General features: G+C 48.9%; 1 protein-coding gene across 10 annotated transcripts in view; it reads right to left on the bottom strand.

Annotated features, from left to right (window-relative positions):
* Window positions 1–18858, bottom strand: part of AHNAK (AHNAK nucleoprotein) — a 113263-nt gene that overhangs the window by 82325 nt on the left and 12080 nt on the right. For 8 of the 10 annotated variants that reach the window (NM_001620.3, NM_001346445.2, XM_047427577.1 and 5 more), the window contains one exon: window positions 34–18206. The exons of 1 other annotated variant lie outside the window; for it this stretch is intronic. In NM_001620.3, coding sequence (NP_001611.1) covers window positions 876–18206 — 17331 coding nt within the window. In that variant the 3' untranslated portion in view covers window positions 34–875. Of the gene's footprint in view, window positions 1–33; window positions 18207–18858 lie in introns of those variants that run through there. One more of the 10 variants, XM_017018270.2, reaches the window with a different exon arrangement.

An 18858-nucleotide genomic window follows, 5' to 3' on the forward strand; every position in this document is an offset into this window, starting at 1 on the left:
CCCCCGCAACACAGAATGCAAAGGCACAAGACATCAAGGTTAATAAACAGCTTTATTTGCCTTGTACAGCATCAATTTTCTTACATTCTCAGTTAATTGGCCATTAAAGTGCTGGAAATTTTCTTAATCATGATAACATTTGTTAAAAAGAAATCAGAACTAATATCAGGAACATGGCGGCATGAAGGAAACAGTTCCCTTACAAAACACAGAAAATGGAAGCCCCTCATGTTGAGGGGGTGGGTTGGACAATTTGCAAACAGATTCTAATTTCCTCTCACCGTCAGCACCAAACTGGCTGGGACCACCACCCCTGGGTGAAAGAAACAACACTAAAGAACCCTAAAAACACCCACACACCCTGACTACCACCACCTCTGGGCCATCTGTGGGCGTTTGCTGTTTGAACAGATCCAGTCTCAGGAAAGAGGAAGACCTGACCTCCGTCTGCAACCCATCACCCCACCCACCCTTACTAACAAAAGCCCCCAAAGTCATTACAATGAAAAAGTGGGTTTCCATTACCCCAAAACTAACAATGTTCAGTAAAAATGAGGATAATAAACACAAAAGCTTGCTTAGTAAACAGGAGCTCTCAGCAGTCAATGCAAAAAAATATATATATATGAAATCTTAAGGCAAATACTGTTGACTTTGCACATGGGCTGGACGAACTTGGAACTCTTTACCTATCTGTATAGTTCCAGGAGCCTACAGGCGGTCGGTTTTTCAGCGCTTGCCACCGGGCCAGGCAAGGTCTTTGCATGATTGCTGAGGCAGTCGGTGTGTTTCCCTTTGGAGTTTATATAGGAACACACCACCCAAGGCTGATGTTTTGTTATATATATATATATGTACACACATACAAAGGCCTGCTACTCTTTCTTTGTGGAAACTGACAGCTCCACCTCGGGAAGCTGGATGCCAACCTTATTCCCACTGTCATTGCTAGAAGAGGAGGACAGTCGGGACTTCTTAGAGGCCAGGGACACCCCACTCCCCTGTAACTTGCCTGTCTCATCATCGCTCCCAGTCACCTCATAATGACCTTTGCTCTTTGACCCCAATCCACCAAAGGTACCGAATTTCAGCTTCCCGTGTTTCCCTTTAACTTTCCCACCTTCCAGAGACACTTCCCCACCTTCAAACTCCAGCGTCCCCGTCGGGGTGGAAGGTCCAGAGAACTCTCTTTCATCACTGAATGAATTTGAGCGGTGCCGTGGCTTCTTACTTTTAAATAAGGAGAATTTGCCTTTCGGTGAAGAGGCTTCGGCCTCTGCCTCTCCTTCCAGAGAGCCCAGGCTGGCCTTTGAACTTTTCAGGTCACCTTTGGACCCAGAAATTGATGCTTCTGGTGAGCCAGTGACACCACCTTTCCCTTTAGGTTTGGAAAAATTAAACTTGGGCATTTTGATCTTGGACTTTTTCAGTTTGACTTCAGACTCTTCCCACTCGCCGTCTCCAGCACCAGCTTGGATGCTGGCCTCTGCTTTAGGGAAGTGAACATCCACCCCCATTTCTCTGCCAACCAGCTCACGGCCAGAGAAGGTAAATTTGGGGATCTTCATTTTAGGGAATGTTACTTTTCCAGATCCACTTTCCAAGTGACCTTGAGGCCCAGACACACTCAGCCCAGGAGCCTGGAGTCCAATCTGACCTCCTTTCACACCTCCTTCCACCTTTGGTCCTGAGAAATGAAGGCCCCCAGCAAACTTAGATGTGTCCAAGTTGAGAGCAGAGGAGACTTGGGGTCCCTTCCACTCACCCCCGGAACCTTTAACACTCAAATGCCCTTCACCAAGGCTGATGTCTGGGGCACTGACACCCCCTGAAACATCCGCACCTCCTTTGATTTTTGGGCCCTTCAAGTTGATGCCAAAATCTGACTCAGGAGATGCCATATTAAAGGCAGGCCCCTTCACACTGATATCAGGAGCAGCCCCATGGAAACCTACTTCTGAACCTTTCAGACCACCTTTGATTTCAGGCCCAGAAATCTGCCCAGTTGGGAGTTTCACATTCACGCCTGGCAGGTTCACATCACATCCAGAGGACTTAATTCCAGGCATCTGGAGGTTTCCTTCTAGGCCTTGAACACCAATGCCTGGAAGACCTCCTCCGACAGTGGGGCCTTTGATCTCACCAGTGGCCCCAAGGCTCCCTTTCACTTTTGGTCCTTCCAAGTTAAAGTCCACATTCGGTGCTGAAATCCGAGGCCCTTTCAGGTTCACATCCACACCTGGCCCCTTCAGTTCGCCAGAAACCTGTGGCCCCTTGGCATTGACGTGCAAGTCGGACCCCGGAGTAGAGATGCCAAATTGGGGCAGCTTCATTTTGGGAAGTTTAATGCTGCCTTCGGATGCCTCCAAGCTTAGATCAGGAGCTCCTACGGATACTTTAGGGCATTTGATGTCACCAGAGACAGCCAGATCTCCCTGCAGGCTTGGTCCCCTCAGTGTCACATCTGGTGCCCCAACGTTAAGCTTTGTTGTGGCATCGATCCCTGGCACTTTCACACCGTCTCCTCCCACCTGCATTTTGCCACCGACACCACTGAGGTTGAGCCCTGGAGCATGCACCTTCATGCTGGGAACAGATGCATCCAGGTCTCCCTTCAAACTTGGTCCTTTCAAGTTCAGATCAAGGTCAGGCCCAGAGACTTTTGGCATAGAGAGGTTCACTGAAGGCAAGTCTACTCCTGGCCCCTTTAGAGAAACATCGGGCCCTTCGAGCTTAACATCTGGTCCTCTCAAGTCTCCTTCAAGAGAGGGTAGCTGGGCATGGACCTCGGCTCCCCCACCCTCCATTTTCACACCTGGGATGCCGATCTTGGGCATGGAAAACTTGGGGAACTTAATTTTTGCTTCTGGACCTTGCAGATCTACATCTGGTCCTTCCAGTCCCACGCTGGGGACATCACCCTTTATCTTTGGTCCTTTCAAGTTTACATTCACATCAGGGATGGAGACTTGAGGGGCAGAAATGCCGAAGGACGGTGTTTTGACTTTAGCATCTAGGCCTTCGATGTTGATGTCAGGTGCACCCAAGTTTGCCTGCACTTTGGGGCCTTTCAGGTCACCCTCTATTTTTGGCACTGAGATGTCCACATCTGGCATCTTGACCTTGGGAGCCTTCGCCTTGATGTCAAGACCTTCGACGTGAATCGCTGGCAAAGAAAGTTCCAGATCAGGTGCCTGGAGTTCACCCTCCAGTTTGGGGCTAGGGAGAGGGGCCTCAGCTTTAAATTTAGGTGATTTAATGTCAAACTCTACATCTGGGAAGTACATTTTTCCAAACATCGTTTTCTTGGTTTTGGGCGATTTCACGTCGACTTTGAGTGCAGCATCCGGCCCTGCGATGTTGACATCTACATCCGGAGCCTTGAGGCTGGCATCAATTTCACCCCCAGGAACATTCAGGTCAAATCCCTGTTTTTTGGCCTTAATCTTAGGACCACTCATATGAATTTTAGGCATTTTAAACTTACTTTTCTTGCCCTTGCCACCAACACTAATTTCAGGAGTCTCAAGGTTCAGCTCTGCCTCAGGAACAGTGACATCCAGTGAAGGTGACTTGATGTCAGCTTTGGGGCTTTTTGCCCCAAATCCAAACTTGGGTTTCTTAAATTTGGGGATTTTAACATCTGGCCCTTCGATGTTAATATCTGGGCTGTCCATGTGTACATCTAAGCTTGGAGCTTCAACTTTGGGTCCCTTGAGGTCCACTTCACCACCTTCTAACTTCGGACCTGAAAATCCAATTTTTGGTGCCTTGAGATGCAAATCAACATCAGGAGCAGTTACTTTAGGAGCAGATATCTCCAGCGATGGCATCTTCAAAGATGGGCCACTGAGTTTGGCATCAGGGCCTTCGAAATCCAGACGTGGACCTTTAAGATCTACTTCTGGGCCTTTCAAAGTCCCTTCAACCTTAGGGACAGACACATCAAAATCTCCTTTTACTTTGGGTCCTTTCAAATCCAGGTCAACATCAGGTATGGAGATCTTGGGAGCTTTGATATTTATTTCAGGCATCTTGAACTTGGGGCCCTTCAGTTTTGCGTCTGGACCTTCGATATTCACATCTGGAATATCAACGTCCACCTTGGGTCCCGAGACATCGATGTCGGCCTTGGGCAGGCTCACATCCACATCTGGACCTTCTCCTTTGAAGCCAGGCATGCTGAATTTGGGCATTTTCACCTTGGGCATCTTCAGGTGCCAGTCTGGGCCATGAACATCCACATCAGGGGTGTTGATGTCCACTTTTGGGCCCTTGATGTCAGCTTCTGGGCCCTTGAGGTCACCTTCCACTTTAGGAAGGGTAACATCCACATCGCCCTTCACTTTGGGTCCTTTCAGGTTTAAGTCAATATCAGGCATGGAGATCTTGGGGGCTTTGATGCTCATCTCAGGCATCTTGAACTTGGGGCCCTTTAGTTTCGCATCTGGACCTTCGATATTCACATCAGGAACATCAACGTCCACTTTGGGTCCTGAGACATCAATGTCAGCCTTGGGCAGGTTCACATCCACATCTGGGCCCTCTCCTTTGAAGCCAGGCATGCTGAACTTGGGCATTTTCACTTTGGGCATTTTTAGGTGCCAGTCTGGGCCTTGAACGTCCACATCTGGGACATCAATGTCCACTTTGGGGTCCCTGATGTCAACTTCGGGGCCCTTGAGGTCGCCTTCCACTTTGGGCAGAGAAATGTCCATGTCGCCCTTCACCTTTGGACCTTTCAGATTCAGGTCAACTTCAGGCATAGAGATCTTCGGTGCCTTGAGGTGTAAGTCAGGCATTTTAAATTTGGGGCCCTTCAGTTTCCCTTCTGGACCATGAATGTCAATATCAGGAGTGTCAATGCCCACTTTAGGGCCTTTGACATCCACTTTGGGACCTTTCAGATCTCCCTCCAGTTTAGGAACGGAAATGTCCATATCTCCTTTTATCTTAGGTCCTTTCAAATTCAAATCAATGTCACTCATGGAGATTTGTGGGCTTTTGAAATGTACATCAGGCATCTTAAACTTGGGACCTTTGAGCTTCCCTTCAGGACCTTCAATGTCTACCTCTGGCCCTTTCAGATCACTTTCCACCTTAGGTAGTGAAACATCCACATCACCCTTCACCTTGGGACCTTTCAGGTGCAAATCAAAGTCAGGCATAGAGATTTTGGGAGCTTTGATGTTCATCTCAGGCATCTTAAATTTGGGCCCCTTCAATTTTCCTTCCGGACCTTCAATATTGACATCAGGTGTGTCAATGTCCAAACTGGGGCCTTTTATGTCAATTTCAGGGCCCTTGAGATCACCTTCCACTTTGGGCAGAGAGACATCCACATCACCTTTCACTTTGGGACCCTTCAAGTTAAAGTCAATGTCAGGCATGGAGATTTTGGGGGCCTTGATGTTCATCTCTGGCATCTTGAACTTTGGACCCTTGAGTTTTGCATCTGGACCTTCGATACTGACATCAGGGGCATCAATGTCCACTTTGGGGCCAGAAATCTCAATGTCAGCCTTAGGAAGGGTAACATCCACATCTGGGCCCTCTCCTTTGAATCCTGGCATGCTGAATTTGGGCATTTTCACCTTGGGCATCTTCAGGTGCCAGTCTGGGCCATGAACATCTACATCAGGGGCATCGATGTCCACTTTGGGGCCCTTGATGTCAACTTCTGGGCCCTTGAGGTCACCTTCCACTTTAGGAAGGGAAACATCCACATCACCCTTCACCTTGGGACCTTTCAGATGCAAATCAAAGTCAGGCATGGAGATCTTGGGGGCTTTGATGTTCATCTCAGGCATCTTGAATTTAGGGCCCTTTAGTTTCGCATCTGGACCTTCGATATTCACATCAGGAACATCAATGTCCACCTTGGGTCCTGAGACGTCAAGGTCAGCCTTGGGCAGGTTCACATCCACATCTGGGCCCTCTCCTTTGAAGCCAGGCATGCTGAACTTGGGCATTTTCACTTTGGGCATTTTTAAGTGCCAGTCTGGGCCTTGAACGTCCACATCTGGGACATCAATGTCCACTTTGGGGCCCTTGATGTCAACTTCAGGGCCCTTGAGGTCGCCTTCCACTTTGGGCAGAGAAACGTCCACGTCGCCCTTCATCTTTGGACCTTTCAGATTCAGGTCAACTTCAGGCATAGAGATCTTCGGTGCCTTGAGGTGCAGGTCAGGCATTTTAAATTTGGGGCCCTTCAGTTTCCCTTCTGGACCATGAATATCAATATCAGGAGTGTCAATGTCCACTTTGGGTCCTGAGACATCAATGTCAGCTTTGGGCAAATTAACATCCACTTCTGGGCCCTCTCCTTTAAATCCTGGCATGCTGAATTTGGGCATTTTCACCTTGGGCATCTTCAGGTGCCAGTCTGGGCCATGAACATCCACATCTGGGGCATCAATGTCCACTTTGGGGCCCTTGATGTCAACTTCAGGGGCCTTTAGATCACCTTCCATCTTAGGCAGAGAAACATCCACATCTCCTTTCACCTTAGGGCCTTTCAGATGCAAATCAAAGTCAGGCATGGAGATCTTGGGGGCTTTGATGTTCATCTCTGGCATCTTGAATTTAGGGCCCTTCAGTTTCGCATCTGGACCTTCAATATTCACATCTGGAACATCAACGTCCACCTTGGGTCCTGAGACGTCAAGGTCAGCCTTGGGCAGGTTCACATCCACTTCTGGACCTTCTCCTTTGAAGCCAGGCATGCTGATCTTGGGCATTTTTATCTTAGGCATCTTCAGGTGCCAGTCTGGGCCTCGAACATCCACATCTGGGGCATTAATATCCACTTTGGGGCCTTTAATATCCAAGTCAGGAACTTGCATGTCACCTTCCACTTTTGGCAGAGACACATCCATATCACCCTTCACTTTGGGTCCTTTCAGGTTAAGATCAATGTCAGGCATGGAGATCTTGGGGGCTTTGATGTTCATCTCAGGCATCTTGAATTTGGGACCTTTCAACTTTCCCTCTGGGCCTTCGATATTCACATCTGGAACATCAATGTCCACCTTGGGTCCTGAGACATCAAGGTCAGCCTTGGGCAGGTTCACATCCACATCTGGGCCCTCTCCTTTGAAGCCAGGCATGCTGAACTTGGGCATTTTCACCTTGGGCATCTTCAGGTGCCAGTCTGGGCCTTGAACATCAACATCTGGAGCATTAATGTCCACTTTGGGGCCCTTGATGTCAACTTCAGGACCCTTGAGGTCACCTTCCATTTTGGGCAGAGAAACATCCACATCGCCCTTGACTTTGGGGCCCTTCAGGTTTAAATCAATGTCAGGCATCGATATTTTGGGAGCCTTCAGGTGCATCTCTGGTATCTTAAATTTGGGTCCCTTGAATTTACCCTCTGAGCCTTCGATGTTAATGTCAGGAGTGTCAATGTCCACTTTGGGGCCCTTGATGTCCACCTCAGGGCCTTTTAGATCACCTTCCACTTTGGGCAAAGACACAACCACATCACCCTTCATTTTGGGTCCCTTCAAGTTCAGGTCAAAGTCAGGCATGGAGATCTTGGGGGCTTTGATGTTCATCTCAGGCATCTTGAACTTGGGGCCCTTCAGCTTTGCATCTGGACCTTCAATATTCACGTCTGGAACATCAACGTCTACATTGGGACCAGAAATGTCAATGTCAGCTTTAGGGAGGGTAACATCGACTTCAGGGCCTTCTCCTTTGAAGCCAGGCATGCTGAACTTGGGCATTTTCACTTTGGGCATCTTCAGATGCCAGTCTGGACCATGAACATCCACATCTGGGGCATTGATGTCCACTTTAGGGCCTTTGATATCAACCTCTGGCCCTTTCAGATCCCCTTCAAGTTTGGGAAGAGAAATATCCACATCACCTTTCACCTTGGGGCCTTTCAAGTTTAAGTCAATGTCAGGCATGGAGATCTTGGGAGCTTTGATATTCATGTCAGGCATCTTGAATTTGGGACCTTTCAAGCCTCCCTCCGGACCTTCCACATTGAGATCTGGGCCCTCAATGTTCATACTTGGGCCCTCTATGTTGATGTCTCCTTTTGGTAGATCCACAGCTACATCTGGCCCTTCTGCTTTTAAGCCAGACACACTGAATTTGGGCATTTTCATCTTGGGCATTTTCAGATTCCAGTCTGGACCATGAACATCCACATCAGGTGCATTAAGATTGACTTCTGGTGCCTTAATATCCACTTTGGGGCCTTTAAAGTCACCTTCTAAATTGGGACCTGCAATATCTAAGTCTCCTTTGACTTTGGGACTTTTCAAATTTAGCTCCACGTCAGGCATAGAAACTTTGGGAGATGAAATACTCAGGAAAGGCATTTTAAACTTGGATCCTTTCACTTTTCCTTGGACCTCGACATCAGGAGCATTAATATCAACTTTTGGACCTGTTATGTCAATATCTGGCTTTTTACCTTTGACATCCACTTCAGGTGTCTGAACTTTAGAGCCCGAAAAATTAAATTTGGGAAGCTTAAAACGAGATTTCTTTGACTTGCCTTCGATATTAAGCTTAGGACCGGAAACGTCCACTTCTGGGCCCTTTATATCCAAACTGGGAGCTTTAATGTCACCTTCCAACTTGGGCCCAGAGACATCAACATCTCCCTTAAGCTTTGAGCCTTTCAAATTCAAGTCAATTTCTGGCATGGAGATCTTGGGCATGTTTACATGCATGTCAGGCATCTTCAGTTTTGGACCTTTTAATTTGGCATCTGGGCCATGAATGTCAATATCTGGAGCATCTACATCTATCTTTGGGCCTTTTATGTCAAGAGCAGGTCCTTTCAAATCACCTTCTACATTTGCAAGTGAAACATCCACCTCTCCTTTCATTTTAGGGCCTTTAAGATTGAGGTCCAAATCAGGCATTGATATTTTAGGAGCTTTGATGTTCATCTCTGGCATCTTGAATTTAGGGCCCTTCAGTTTCGCATCTGGACCTTCAATATTCACATCTGGAACATCAACGTCCACCTTGGGTCCTGAGACGTCAAGGTCAGCCTTGGGCAGGTTCACGTCCACTTCTGGACCTTCTCCTTTGAAGCCAGGCATGCTGATCTTGGGCATTTTTATTTTAGGCATCTTCAGGTGCCAGTCTGGGCCTTGAACATCCACATCTGGGGCATTAATATCCACTTTGGGGCCTTTAATATCCACGTCAGGAACTTTCATGTCACCTTCCACTTTTGGCAGAGACACATCCATGTCACCCTTCACTTTGGGACCTTTCAGGTTAAGATCAATGTCAGGCATGGAGATCTTGGGGGCTTTGATGTTCATCTCAGGCATTTTGAATTTGGGACCTTTCAACTTTCCCTCTGGGCCTTCGATATTCACATCTGGAACATCAATGTCCACCTTGGGTCCTGAGACATCAAGGTCAGCCTTGGGCAGGTTCACATCCACATCTGGGCCCTCTCCTTTGAAGCCAGGCATGCTGAATTTGGGCATTTTCACTTTGGGCATTTTTAGGTGCCAGTCTGGGCCTTGAACGCCCACATCCGGGACATCAATGTCCACTTGGGGACCCCTGATGTCAACTTCAGGGCCCTTGAGGTCACCTTCCACTTTGGGCAGAGAAATATCCACATCGCCCTTCACCTTGGGACCTTTCAGATGCAAATCAAAGTCAGGCATGGGGATCTTGGGGGCTTTGATATTCATCTCTGGCATCTTGAACTTGGGCCCTTTCAACTTTCCCTCTGGTCCTTCAATGTTAACATCAGGGCCTTCAACGTCCACTTTGGGGCCTGAGACATCAACGTCAGCCTTGGGCAGGTTCACATCCACTTCAGGGCCCTCTGCTTTGAAGCCAGGCATGCTGAACTTGGGCATTTTCATCTTGGGCATCTTCAGGTGCCAGTCTGGACCCTGAACATTAACATCTGGGACATCAATGTCCACTTTGGGGCCTTTGAGGTCAACTTCAGGACCTTTCAGATCTCCCTCTACCTTAGGGCCTGTAACATCCACATCTCCTTTTATTTTTGGACCTGTGAGATTCAGGTCAATATCTGGCATGGATATCTTTGGAGTCTTAAAATGCATCTCTGGCATCTTAAACTTTGGACTTTTCCACTTTCCTTCAGGTCCTTCGATATTCACATCGGGACATTCAACATCCACTTTCGGTCCTGAGACATCAATGTCAGCCTTGGGCAGGTTCACGTCCACATCTGGACCTTCTCCTTTGAAGCCAGGCATGCTGATCTTGGGCATTTTTATCTTGGGCATCTTTAGGTGCCAGTCTGGGCCATGAACATCAACATCAGGTGCGTCAATGTCCACTTTTGGGCCCTTGATGTCAACTTCTGGGCCCTTGAGGTCACCTTCCACTTTAGGAAGGGAAACATCCACATCACCCTTCACTTTGGGTCCTTTCAGGTTTAAGTCAATATCAGGCATGGAGATCTTGGGGGCTTTGATATTCATCTCTGGCATCTTGAACTTAGGCCCTTTCAACTTTCCCTCTGGTCCTTCAATGTTAACATCAGGGCCTTCAATGTCCACTTTGGGTCCTGAGACATCAATGTCAGCCTTGGGCAGCTTCACATCCCCATCTGGGCCCTCTCCTTTGAAGCCAGGCATGCTGAACTTTGGCATTTTCACCTTGGGCATCTTCAGGTGCCAGTCTGGGCCTTGAACACCCACATCTGGGGCATTAATATCCACTTTGGGCCCCTTGATGTCAACTTCGGGGCCCTTGAGGTCACCTTCCACTTTGGGCAGAGAAACATCCACATCGCCCTTCACCTTGGGACCTTTCAGATGCAAATCAAAGTCAGGCATGGAGATCTTGGGGGCTTTGATGTTCATCTCTGGCATCTTTAACTTAGGCCCTTTCAACTTTCCCTCTGGTCCTTCAATATTAACATCAGGGCCTTCAATGTCCACCTTGGGTCCTGAGATGTCAACGTCAGCCTTAGGCAAGTTGACGTCTACTTCAGGGCCCTCTGCTTTGAAGCCAGGCATGCTGAACTTGGGCATTTTCATCTTGGGCATCTTCAGGTGCCAGTCTGGAGCTTGGACATCGGGGGCATTTACATCAACTTTGGGGCCCCTGATGTTCATATCTGGTACTTCAAGTTTACCTTCTACCTCAGGCACAGACACATCCACATCCCCCTTGATTTTGGGTCCTTTGAGATTTAGATCAACATCAGGCATAGAAATATTGGGGGCTTTGAAATGCATATCAGGCATCTTGAACTTAGGGCCTTTCAATTTGCCCTCTGGTCCCTCAATGTCAATGTCTGGCCCACTGACATCCACATGTGGCCCTTTAAGGTCCCCTTCCAATTTGGGAACATCTACATCCACCTCTCCTTTTGCCTTGGGGCTCTTCAAGTGTAGATCGAGGTCTGGCATAGAGATTTTGGGAGCTTTAAAGTGCATATCTGGCATCTTGAACTTAGGAGTTTTCCACTTGCCATTTGGGCCTTCCACAGCTACTTCTGGCATGTCAGCATCTAATTTGGGACCTTTGACATCCAATTCTGGACCTTTTAACTCTCCCTCCAGCTTTGGGGCAGAAACATCAACATCTCCTTTGATTTTGGGTCCCTTTAAATTGAAATCAACATCAGGCATGGAGATCTTGGGGGTCTTGAAGTGCATCTCAGGCATCTTAAACTTGGGGCCCTTCAGCTTCCCTTCTGGACCTTCAAGGCTCACATCTGGGACTTCAACATCCACCTTGGGTCCTGAGACATCAACGTCAGCCTTGGGCAAGTTCACATCCACTTCTGGGCCCTCTCCTTTGAAGCCAGGCATGCTGAACTTGGGCATTTTCATCTTAGGCATCTTCAGGTGCCAGTCTGGGCCATGAACATCCACATCTGGGGCATCAATGTCCACTTTGGGCCCTCTGATGTCAACATCTGGCACTTTCATTTCACCTTCTACCTTGGGAACAGACACATCCATATCCCCTTTGACTTTGGGGCCTTTCAAGTTTAAGTTCACATCAGGCATGGAGATCTTGGGGGTCTTGAAGTGCATCTCAGGCATCTTAAACTTGGGCCCTTTCAACTTTGCATCAGGACACTCCAGCTCAACATCAGGCACCTCCACATCCACACTGGGGCCTGTTAAATCTCCCTCCAATTTTGGCAAAGACACATCCACATCCCCTTTGACTTTGGGGCCTTTCAAGTGTAAGTCCACATCAGGCATGGAGATCTTGGGGGCCTTGAAGTGCATCTCAGGCATCTTAAGCTTGGGGCCCTTCAGCTTCCCTTCTGGACCTTCAAGGCTCACATCTGGGACTTCAACATCCACCTTGGGTCCTGAGACAACAACATCAGCCTTGGGCAAGTTCACATCCACTTCTGGGCCCTCTGCTTTGAAGCCAGGCATGCTGAACTTGGGCATTTTCATCTTGGGCATCTTCAGGTGCCAGTCTGGGCCATGAACATCCACATCTGGGGCATCAATGTCCATTTTGGGTCCTTTGATGTCAACATCTGGCACTTTCATTTCACCTTCTACCTTGGGCACAGACACATCCATATCCCCTTTGACTTTGGGGCCTTTCAGGTGTAAGTCCACATCAGGCATGGAGATCTTGGGGGTCTTGAAGTGCATCTCAGGCATCTTAAACTTGGGCCCTTTCAACTTTGCATCAGGACACTCCAGCTCAACATCAGGCACCTCCACACCCACACTGGGACCTGTTAAATCTCCCTCCAATTTTGGCACCGACACATCCACATCCCCTTTGACTTTGGGGCCTTTCAAGTGTAAGTCCACATCAGGCATGGAGATCTTGGGGGCCTTGAAGTGCATGTCTGGCATCTTAAATTTAGGGCCTTTCAACTTTGCATCAGGACACTCCAGCTCAACATCAGGCACCTCCACACCCACACTGGGGCCTGTTAAATCTCCCTCCAATTTTGGCACCGACACATCCGCATCCCCTTTGACTTTGGGGCCTTTCAGGTGTAAGTCCACATCAGGCATGGAGATCTTGGGGGCCTTGAAGTGCATCTCAGGCATCTTAAACTTGGGCCCTTTCAACTTTGCATCAGGACACTCCAGATCAACATCGGGCACCTCCGCTTCCACAAAAGGACCTTTGACATCAACTTGCGGCCCTCTGAGATCACCTTCCAGTTCTGGCACAGAAGCATCTATCTCTCCCTTCAGTTTGGGTCCCTTCAAATTCAAGTCCACATCTGGCATGGAGACCTTGGGAGCTTTTATATTCAACTTGGGCATCTTAAATTTGGAGCCTTTCAACTTTCCTTCTGGTCCCTCAATATCCAAATCAGGAGCATCAGTGTCCACACTGGGTCCAGACACATCAATGTCAGCCTTTGGCAGATTCACATCCACTTCAGGGCCCTCTGCTTTGAAGCCAGGCATACTGAACTTGGGCATTTTCATCTTGGGCATTTTCAGGTGCCAATCTGGGTCGTGAACCTCCACATCTGGGGCATCAATGTCCACTTTGGGCCCTTTAATGTCAACATCTGGCACTTTCATTTCACCTTCTACCTTGGGCACAGACACATCCATATCCCCTTTGACTTTGGGGCCTTTCAAGTGTAAGTCCACATCGGGCATGGAGATCTTGGGGGCCTTGAAATGCATCTCAGGCATCTTAAACTTGGGGCCCTTCAACTTCCCTTCTGGACCTTCAATATCAATATCACCAACATTCACATCCATCTTAGGGGCTTTCACATCAATTTCAGGACCCTTCAAGTCTCCTTCCACTTTGGGAAGGGAAACATCTACATCAGTTTTCAGTTTAGGGGCTTTCAAATTAAGTCCAACATCAGGCATAGAGATTTTGTGCGTCTGTATATTCATGCTTGGCATCTTGAACTTAGGGCCTTTTAGTTTCCCCTCTGGAGCTTCAAGATTCACATCTGGAACATCAATGTCCACCTTGGGTCCTGAAACACCAAGGTCAGCCTTGGGCAGGTTCATATCCACCTCTGGGCCCTCTCCTTTAAAGCCAGGCATGCTGAACTTGGGCATTTTTACCTTGGGCATCTTCAGGTGCCAGTCTGGGCCATGAACCTCCACATCTGGTGCATTAATATCAACTTTGGGGCCTTTGATGTCAACATCAGGAGCTTTTATCTCTCCTTCTACTTTTGGAACTGTTACATCATAATCTCCTTTCATTTTAGGACCTTTCAAATGCAAACCAACATCTGGTATGGATATCTTCTGAGGCTTTATACTCATTTCTGGCATCTTGAATTTGGGACCTTTTAGTTTTGCGTCTGGACCTTCAATATTCACATCTGGAACTTCAGCATCCATTTTGGGTCCTGAGACATCAACGTCAGCTTTGGGCAGCTTCACATCCACTTCAGGGCCCTCTCCTTTGAAGCCGGGCATGCTGAACTTGGGCATTTTCACCTTGGGCATCTTCAGGTGCCAATCTGGGCCATGAACATCCACATCTGGAGCACTAATGTCAACTTTGGGCCCTTTAATGTCAACATCTGGCACTTTCATTTCACCTTCTACCTCAGGCAAGGACACATCCACATCTCCCTTCAATTTTGGCCCCTTAAGATTCAGGTCCACATCAGGCATGGAGATCTTGGGGGCCTTGAAGTGCATCTCAGGCATCTTAAACTTGGGGCCCTTCAGCTTTCCTTCCGGGCCCTCAAGGCTCACATCTGGGACTTCAACATCCACCTTGGGTCCTGAGACATCAATGTCAGCCTTGGGCAGGTTCACATCCACTTCTCGGCCCTCTCCTTTGAAGCCAGGCATGCTAAACTTGGGCATTTTCATCTTGGGCATCTTCAGGTGCCAGTCTGGGCCTTGAACCTCCACATCTGGGGCATCAATGTCCATTTTGGGTCCTTTGATTTCAACATCTGGCACTTTCATTTCACCTTCTACCTTGGGCACAGACACATCCACATCCCCTTTGACTTTGGGGCCTTTCAAGTGTAAGTCCACATCAGGCATGGAGATCTTGGGGGTCTTGAAATGCATCTCAGGCATCTTAAACTTGGGACCCTTCAGCTTCCCTTCTGGACCTTCGAGGCTCACATCTGGGGCTTCGATGTCCACCTTGGGTCCTGAGACAACAACGTCAGCCTTAGGCAAGTTCACATCCACTTCTGGGCCCTCGCCTTTGAGGCTGGGCATGCTGAACTTGGGCATTTTCATCTTGGGTATTTTCAGGCTCCAGTCCAGGCCTTGGCCTTCCACATCTGGTGCTTTAATATCTACCTTGGGACCTCTGATGTCCACATCTGGAACCTGCATTTCACCCTCTATCTTTGGTGCAGAGATATCTACATTTCCTTTCATTTTGGGTCCTTTAAGATCCAGGTCAACATCTGGCAAAGACATCTTAGGAGCTCTGAAGTGCATCTCAGGCATCTTAAACTTCGGGCCTTTCAACTTCCCTTCAGGTCCTTCAAGGCTCAGATCTGGAGCATTAGTATCTACTTTTGGTGCAGAAATGTCCACATTCGCTTTGGACAGGTTCACATCAAATTCTGGCCCCTCTCCTTTGAGGCTGGGCATGCTAAATTTGGGCATTTTAATCTTTGGCATCTTCAAGTTCCAGTCAGGACCCTGCATTTCAACATCTGGGGCACTGACATCTACTTTTGGGCCTTTCAGGTCCCCTTCCAGCTTTGGCACTGTCATATCATATTCTCCCTTTACTTTAGGACCTTTCATATGCAAGTCCACATCAGGCATGGAGATCTTGGGGGCCTTGATATTCATCTCTGGCATCTTGAACTTGGGGCCCTTCAGCTTTCCTTCAGGTCCTTCAATATTCACATCTGGAACTTCAACACCCACCTTGGGTCCTGAGATGTCCACATCAGCCTTGGGCAGGTTCACATCCACTTCTGGGCCCTCTGCTTTGAAGCCAGGCATGCTGAACTTGGGCATTTTCATCTTGGGCATCTTCAGGTGCCAGTCTGGGCCTTGAACCTCCACATCTGGGACATCAATGTCCATTTTGGCACTTTTAAGTTCAACATCAGGAACTTTAATCTCACTTTCAACCTTTGGCATTGTGACATCATATTCTCCCTTTACGTTAGGGCCTTTCAGATGTAAGTCCACATCAGGCATGGAGATCTTGGGGACTTTGATGTTCATCTCAGGCATCTTAAACTTGGGCCCTTTCAATTTCCCTTCTGGTTCCTCAATGCTCACATCAGGAGCAGTAACATCTATCTTGGGCCCGGAAATGTCCACATCAGCCTTGGGCAGGTTCACATCCACTTCTGGGCCCTCTGCTTTGAACCCTGGCACACTGAATTTGGGCATTTTCATCTTGGGCATCTTCAAGTGCCAGTCTGGGCCATGAACATCCACATCTGGGGCATCAATGTCCACTTTTGGGCCTTTGAGTTCTCCTTCCAGCTTTGGTACAGTTACATCATACTCTCCCTTCACCTTTGTACCTTTCACGTGCAAATCTACATCAGGCATGGAGATCTTTGGTGTCTTGACACTCATATCAGGCAGCTTAACATCGGGGCCTTTAAGTTTTCCCCCCAGACCCTCCAAGTTGACATCTGGGGCTTCCACATTGACCTTGGGCCCTGAAATACTGATATCTCCTTTGGGTAGAGTCATATGAACATCTGGACCTTCCCCTTTGGCTCCTGGAGTGCTGAACGTGGGCATTTTCATCTTGGGCATTTTCAGGTTCCATTCTGGGCCATGCGCTTCGACATCTGGGGCACTGACATCCACTTTGGGGCCTCTGACATCAACTTCAGGGACTTTGACTTTCCCTTCTACTCTGGGGAGTGTGACATCTACACCCCCTTTCACTTTAGGTGCGGCCACATTTAAGTCTACTTCTGACATAGAGATCCTACAGGTTCCGGTTTTCCCGGAAGGACTGCCAAGCCTAGGGCCTGTCAAGGTTCCCTCTAGGTTTGGTGTCTCTATGTCCACTCTGGAGCCTTTAAGTGCCACTTGAGGGCCTTTAACATCACCTTGCACCCCAGGAGCAGAAACCTTAATATCTCCTTTCAGTTTAGGAGACCCAAGGCTCAGATCCACATCCTGCATGGAGATTTTAGGTTTCTGAATAATCATTTCAGGAGTCTTCACTTTAGTACCTTTCATCTTTCCTTCCAGCCCACCAGTAGCAATCTCAGGCAGGCTGACATCCCCAGAGACCCCAGGAACAGTCACTTCACCTGTAGGCAGTGTCACATCAATCCCAGTTTCCTCTCCCTTTGCACCTGATACAGAGAACTTGGGGACTTTCATCTTGGGCACATTCAGTTTGCTCCCAGGCCCCTGAACATCAATGTCAGGGGCCTGAACTTCCACACTGGGGCCAGTGATGCTACCCCCAATTTGGGGAGCAGAGGCATCCACCCCAATGTGCCCCTGTGGCTTGGCACCTTTCAGGCCTAGGTCACCCTCAAGTGATGGCCCAGTGATTTGGGGGCCCTTCAGCTTCCCCTCAAGGCCCTCAATATTGGCAGAGGGCACACTGACTTCCAGCTGAGGGGCTTGGATAGTCAAGCCTGGCTTGCCGCCCTTGTGCCCCACAGAGACTTCAGGTGCAGAAACCCTCAGCCCTGCCTTTGGTGTCTGGCCCTCACGCCCTGTTGAGACACCAAATTTCGGCACTTTCATGGTGGGAAATTTAATTTTGCCATGATCACCACTCTCCAGAGATGGGCCCTGTACCTCTACTGCCCTACCCCCAAGAGAAGATGAAATGTCCACTGCTGGAACTTGGACCCCTCCTCTGCCACCCAAGTCCAAGCCCTTTGCATTGACATTGACACCTGAGCCTCCCACCTTTATCCCAGGCATGGTGACCTGGAGCTTCGAGTGGCCAGCACCTTGGAGCTCTGGTCCTGAAGCAGAAATGGCCCCTGCTCGGATATCCACAGCAGAGCCTGTCGGAGAGGCTGCCCCCGAGCCCGAGGGCAGTCTGATCACGGTCTTCCCAGACTGGGTCTCCACATCCACATTGGAGATTTCAGTCAGTTCATGTCTTGGAATCTTGATCTTGAATTCAGGGCTACTGATGTCTATGTCCTTGGCTCCTTCCCGGCCAGTCACATCCACAGTGTAGGCCGTGACCCTTCTGGTCACTGTGATGGTACGGCTCTGGGTCTCCCCGAGGTCTCCTTCCACTCCATCTTCCGACTTCAGCCGTGGCTTGATCTTCGTGGTGTAGATGCGCTGGTACTCCTCATCATCCCCGCTCTGCAGAAAGACACGCCGGGCAGAGGTTGCAGCAGAGTCTGCCTGAGTTAGCAGATGCCCGGCCACAGCCCAGCCGACAACACGTTGCCTGTTTCCCAGAGAAGCTGGGACCAAAACAGAGGTCCATGGAGCCTCCTGGGGCACAGCACAGGGGAGTGAAGAAAGGGGCTGACAGCCACATCACAGGAGGAAATCAGAAATTCTCTGGAGGTCATACCGCTAAGCAAAAACCGTGGGGAGGGAGTGGGAGGTATACTCTTGGACTGGGAGGATTTCCATTCAGTTAGAGATTCAAATCAGCCTGTGCCAGGGACACCTCCCAAGAGACCAGGCCCTTCAGCTCCCAACTCTCAAGCCACTGGCTTGTTTGTTTAATCAGGAGGGGAATCTTCTCAGAGGCCCTTGGACCCTGAAAGCACTCGTTGAGCCTAAGAGACTGGTTGTGCTTGGGTTAACAGTCTCACTTTGAGGACCCATTATTTGTTAAATAAACAAGCCATCAGAAGGACCAATGTCCCCACAGGCACTTTGCTGCCCAGCGTCTGACCCACAGAATGTATCAGGCCTCTGCAGAGAGAAAAATGGTGTCTGTGAGGTGGAGCTGGGCACCTGTGAAGTCATTTCAAAGATTCTTGCAAAGCAGCTGACCTTC

Source organism: Homo sapiens, chromosome 11 (genome assembly GCF_000001405.40).
Source record: "Homo sapiens chromosome 11, GRCh38.p14 Primary Assembly".
In the NCBI taxonomy this organism is placed as follows: Eukaryota; Metazoa; Chordata; class Mammalia; order Primates; family Hominidae; genus Homo; species Homo sapiens.